The sequence below is a fragment of the Homo sapiens genome, chromosome 3 (genome assembly GCF_000001405.40).
Source record: "Homo sapiens chromosome 3, GRCh38.p14 Primary Assembly".
Classification (NCBI taxonomy): domain Eukaryota; kingdom Metazoa; phylum Chordata; class Mammalia; order Primates; family Hominidae; genus Homo; species Homo sapiens.
In genome coordinates this window covers 57,954,772-57,959,277 of record NC_000003.12, presented here as the reverse complement: position 1 = coordinate 57,959,277, position 4,506 = coordinate 57,954,772, and the positions used below count along the sequence as shown (strand labels likewise).

Genomic DNA, 4,506 nt, shown 5'->3' with positions numbered 1-4,506 from the left:
CCAGCCCCCCACCCTGGTGAATCAACCACACTGCTTAAGCCACAGCAAAACCAAGTCACTTCCTGGCGGTCCCAAACAAAGGCCTAGAACCCACAGTCCAGGAACTGGCCCCTTATCGCTCCTCAGGCCCGATAAGAAGGGCAAGAGGGTCTGAGTCGGCCAGGAGTAGCTCTTGCAGGACTCTCCCCTGGCCTTCTACCTGCACCTTAGCCCACCCTGGGGGTTCAGGCCCTCCCCTTCTCATGGCGCCCCCACAGGCATGCTGTCCCGTGTGCCCACCATGCAGCCCCTGCACCATCTCCAGAAGAAACCAGTTAAAGACTGCCAGGAGCAGCAGGCCATGAAGTGGGCACTCCCCAGAGCTTATCAGATAGGCAGGCTCTTCTGGGCCCCAGGAAGTGGGGCAGGGGACAGAAAAAGAATGAGGAAGGAGGGACAGAGAAAAGGTGAAAGGAGGGTTGGTGCCACGCCCTCCCCTGGAGGCCCCACAGAAGGAGGTCCAGTTGCAGCCTCCTGGCTGGTCCCCTGTCCTCCCACTCAACACCACTGGGAGCTGACCATCCTCCACCCCATAGCTACAGCCACTCTTTTTTTTTTTTTCCTTTTCTTTTTTGAGACGGAGTCTCGCTCTATCACCCAGGTTGGAGTGCAGTGGCGCCCACGCCCAGCCGAGCCACCTTCTTTTAAGCCACATCTGCTTGTCCCACCCTTGTTCAGAACCCTACTGTGAGGCTGGGTGCGGTGGCTCACGCCTGTAATCCTAGCACTTTGGGAGGCTGAGGCAGGTAGATCATTTGAGTTCAGGAGTTCGAGACCAGCCTGGCCAACATGGTGAAACCCTGTCTCTACTAAAAATACAAAAATTAGCCAGACATGGTGGCAAGTGCCTGTAATCCCAGCTACTAGGGAGGCTGAGGCAGCAGAATCGTTTGAACCTGGAGGTGGGGGTTGTAGTGAGCCAAGATTGTGCCACTGCGCTCCAGCCTGGGCAACAGAGCGAGACTTTATCCCCACCACCTGGCCAGGTGTCTTACTCTATTGGGGCTGCTATATAACAATAGAACATAAACTGGGAGGCTTACAAACAATAGAAATTTATTTCTTACAGTTCTGGAGGCTAGAAATCCAAGACTAAGGTCCCAGCAGATTCTATGTCTGGTGAGGGCCCTTCCTCATAGGCAGTACCAGCTTGCCATGTCCTCACAGGTGGAAGAGGCTGCTAGCTCTCTGAACATGATAAGGGCACTAATCCCATCCATGAGGGCTCCACCCTTATGACCTAATCACTTCCCAAAGGCCCTACCTTCTAATACCATCTCCTTGGGGCTTAGGGTAGGAATTTTGTGGGGACACAAACGTTCAGATTATAGCACCAGATTTTCTTCTTTTCTAATTTTTTTTTTTGAGATGGGGTCTTGCTCTCTTGCTCAGACTGAAGTACAGTGGCAAAATCACAGCTCACTGCAGCCTCAACCTCCCAGGCTCAAGGGATCCTCCCACCTCTGCCTCCTGAGTAGCTGGAACCACAGGTGGACACCACTACACCTGGCTAATACATATATATATATTTTTTTTTTTTTTTTTTTTTGGCTCACTACAGCCTCCACCTCCTGGGTTCAGGTGATTTTCTTGCCTCAGCCTCCCAAGTAGCAGGGATTACAGGCACATGCCACCACACCTCGCTAATTTTTGTATTTTTAGTAGAGACAGGGTTTCACCATGTTGGCCAGGCTGGTTGGTCTCGAGCTCCTGACCTCCAGTGATCCACCCACCTCAGTCTCCCAAAGTGTCGGCTAATTTTTAAAAATTTTTTTGTAGAGATGGGGGTCTCACTATGTTGCCCAGACTAATCTCAAACTCCTGGGCTCAAGTGATCCTACTGTCTCAGCCTCCAAAATGCTGGGACTAGAGGAATGAACCACCACGCTAGGCCAGCAAGTGGTCTTCTGACTCCCAAGGCCTCATTCCTTCCATGCTCCTAAATGGAGCTACTCACAGTCCCTGGGTCTCAAGCCTCTGGGTCTCTGCTGCTGGGACCCAGAAGAAGGTGAGTCTCAGCACTTGCTGGGTGAGTGGGTGGAAGTTTGCAGGAAGTCTTCCTGGAGGAGTGGCATTTTAGTTATCCTGGTGTTCTGACCCGATTGGGAGAGGCAGAAGAAAAGAAGGTCAGGTGATTCCCAAATAAGCCAATTTGCCCAGCTCTCACCTGAGCAAGGTGACTGGCCTCTTTGCAGGCAGGGAGGTCTAGTGGAAAGAGCAGGAAGCTCAGTGCTTACCAGCTACGTTACCTTGAACAAATGTCTCTCTGTGTGTGAGCCTCTGTTTCCTCCTCTGTAAAATGGGCTAAGGCTGCCCATCAGGGCTGCATACATTTATGCAAAGTGTGTAAATGCCCAGCAGGTGCTCCATCCATTCCATCCAAGATGGGAGTTTTCTCCAGGGCAGTGTCTTGGCTGCTTCCCTGGTCTAGGTCAAAGAAAGGGCCAGGATTGGAGAAAATGAAGCTAGGCCAATCCGGATTTTCCAGCTGTTCCTGGCTGCTCCATGTGGCTGGAGGAAGGAAATTCTCTGTACAAAGACAGGAAGGCAGAGGTGCTCCTGTGGCAAAGACAAAGCTCACAGTGGTGCCTGGTATGACCTGAAGGTCCAATGCACCTTTGGAGCCGGGCACAGAAACCACAGCAGAGGCTCCATCACCCTGGCATCCCTCATCTCCTCCAAAAGCATCGGGGTATCACAGATGGGGAAACCAAGGCCCAAAGAGGATATGAATCTACCCTAGGTCACATAAAGGCCATGGCTTCCAATTCAGCTCCCCTACCTCTTCTTTTTCAAGTTCAGAATCACTGAGGATGTCCTATAAAGTACCTAAAAGACAGTAATCTCTCACTGATTGTGGTTTTAAGAGAATTCATTTTATATGTACAGTCATGCATTGCTTAACAACAAGGATAAATTCTGAGAAATGTGTCATTAGGTGATTTCACCATTGTGTGAACATCATAGAGGGCACTTACACAAACCTAGATGGTCTAGCCTACTACACCCCTAGGCTAAATGGTGTAGTCTATTTCTCCTAGGCTACAGATCTGTATAGCATGTTACTGTACTGGATACTGTAGGCAACTGTAACACAATGGTAAGTAATTGTATATTTAAACATCTAAACATAGAAAGGGTAAAATAAAAATATAGTATTATAATTTTGTGGGATCACCGTGGCAGGTGAGATATGTCGTCAACTGAAACATTTTTTTGTTGTTGTTTGTTTGTTTGTTTGTTTTTTAGTAGAGATGGGGTTTCATCATGTTGGCCAGGCTGGTCTTGAACTCCTGGCCTCAAGTGATCCTCTAGCCTCGGCCTCCCAGAGTGCTGGGATTACAGGCATCAGCCACTGTGCTGGCTCCATTTTTTTTTTCTTTTTTTTTTTGGAGACGGGTTTCACTCTTGTCACCCAGGCTGGAGTGCAGTGGTGCAATCTTGGCTCACTGAAACCTCCGCCTCCCGGGTTCAAGCGATTCTCCTGCCTCAGCCTCCCAAGTAGCTGGGATTACAGGCATGCACCACCATGCCTGGCTACTTTTTGTATTTTTAGTAGAGATGAGGTTTCACCATGTTGCCCAGGCTGGTCTCAAACTCCTGACCTCAAGTGATCTGCTGGCTTTGGCCTCCCAAAGTGTTGGGATTACAGGCATGAGCCACTGTGCCCAGCCTGTTTTGTTTGGTTTGGTTTGTTTTTTTGTTTTTTTGAGACGGAGTCTCACTGTCTCCCAGGCTGGAGTACAGTGGCACTATGTTGGCTCACTGCAACCTCAGAATCCTTGGTTCAAGCAATTCTCCTGCCTCAGCCTCCCAAGTAGCTGAGATTACAGGCACCTGCCACCATGCCCGGCTAATTTTTGTATTTTTAGTAGAGGCAGGGTTTTACCATCTTAGCCAGGCTGGTCTCTAACTCCTGGTCTCAAGTGATCCACCAGCCTCAGCCTCCAAAATTGCTGGGATTACAGGTGTGAACCACTGCGCTGTCTGAAACATTGTTATATGGCACATAACTGCATATGTACATTTTTTTAATCTTTATTTTTTGAGACAGTCTCACTCTGTCACCCAGGCTGGACTGCAGCAGCACCATCCTGGCTCACTTGCAATCTCTGCCTCCCAGGTTCAAGCGATTCTCCTGCCTCAGCCTCTGAGTAACTAGGATTATAGGTGTGCACCACCACATCCGGCTAATTTTTGTATTTTCAGTAGAGATGGAGTTTCACCGTGTTGGCCAGGCTGGTCTGGAATTTCTGAGTTCAAATGATCTGCCCAACTTGGCCTCCCAAAGTGCTGGGATTACAGGTGTGAGCCACTGCACAATCACAGCTAACTACAGCCTCAAACTCCTGGGCTCAAGCCATTCTCCTGCCTCAGGCCCACAAGTAGCTGGGACTACAGGCATTCACCACTACACCCGGCTATATATATTTTTTAATCTTTTGTAGAGATGGGGTTTTGCCATAT

The 4,506-nt window shown here is 49.5% G+C and overlaps 1 annotated feature.

The window, feature by feature from the left end:
* Positions 78-659: an enhancer, noted in NCBI's record as "H3K27ac-H3K4me1 hESC enhancer chr3:57944346-57944927 (GRCh37/hg19 assembly coordinates)". NCBI's record gives its function as "activates a minimal SCP1, AML or CMV promoter by ChIP-STARR-seq in primed H9 embryonic stem cells {active_cell/tissue: H9 hESC(primed)}" and the evidence as "EXISTENCE:reporter gene assay evidence [ECO:0000049][PMID:30033119]".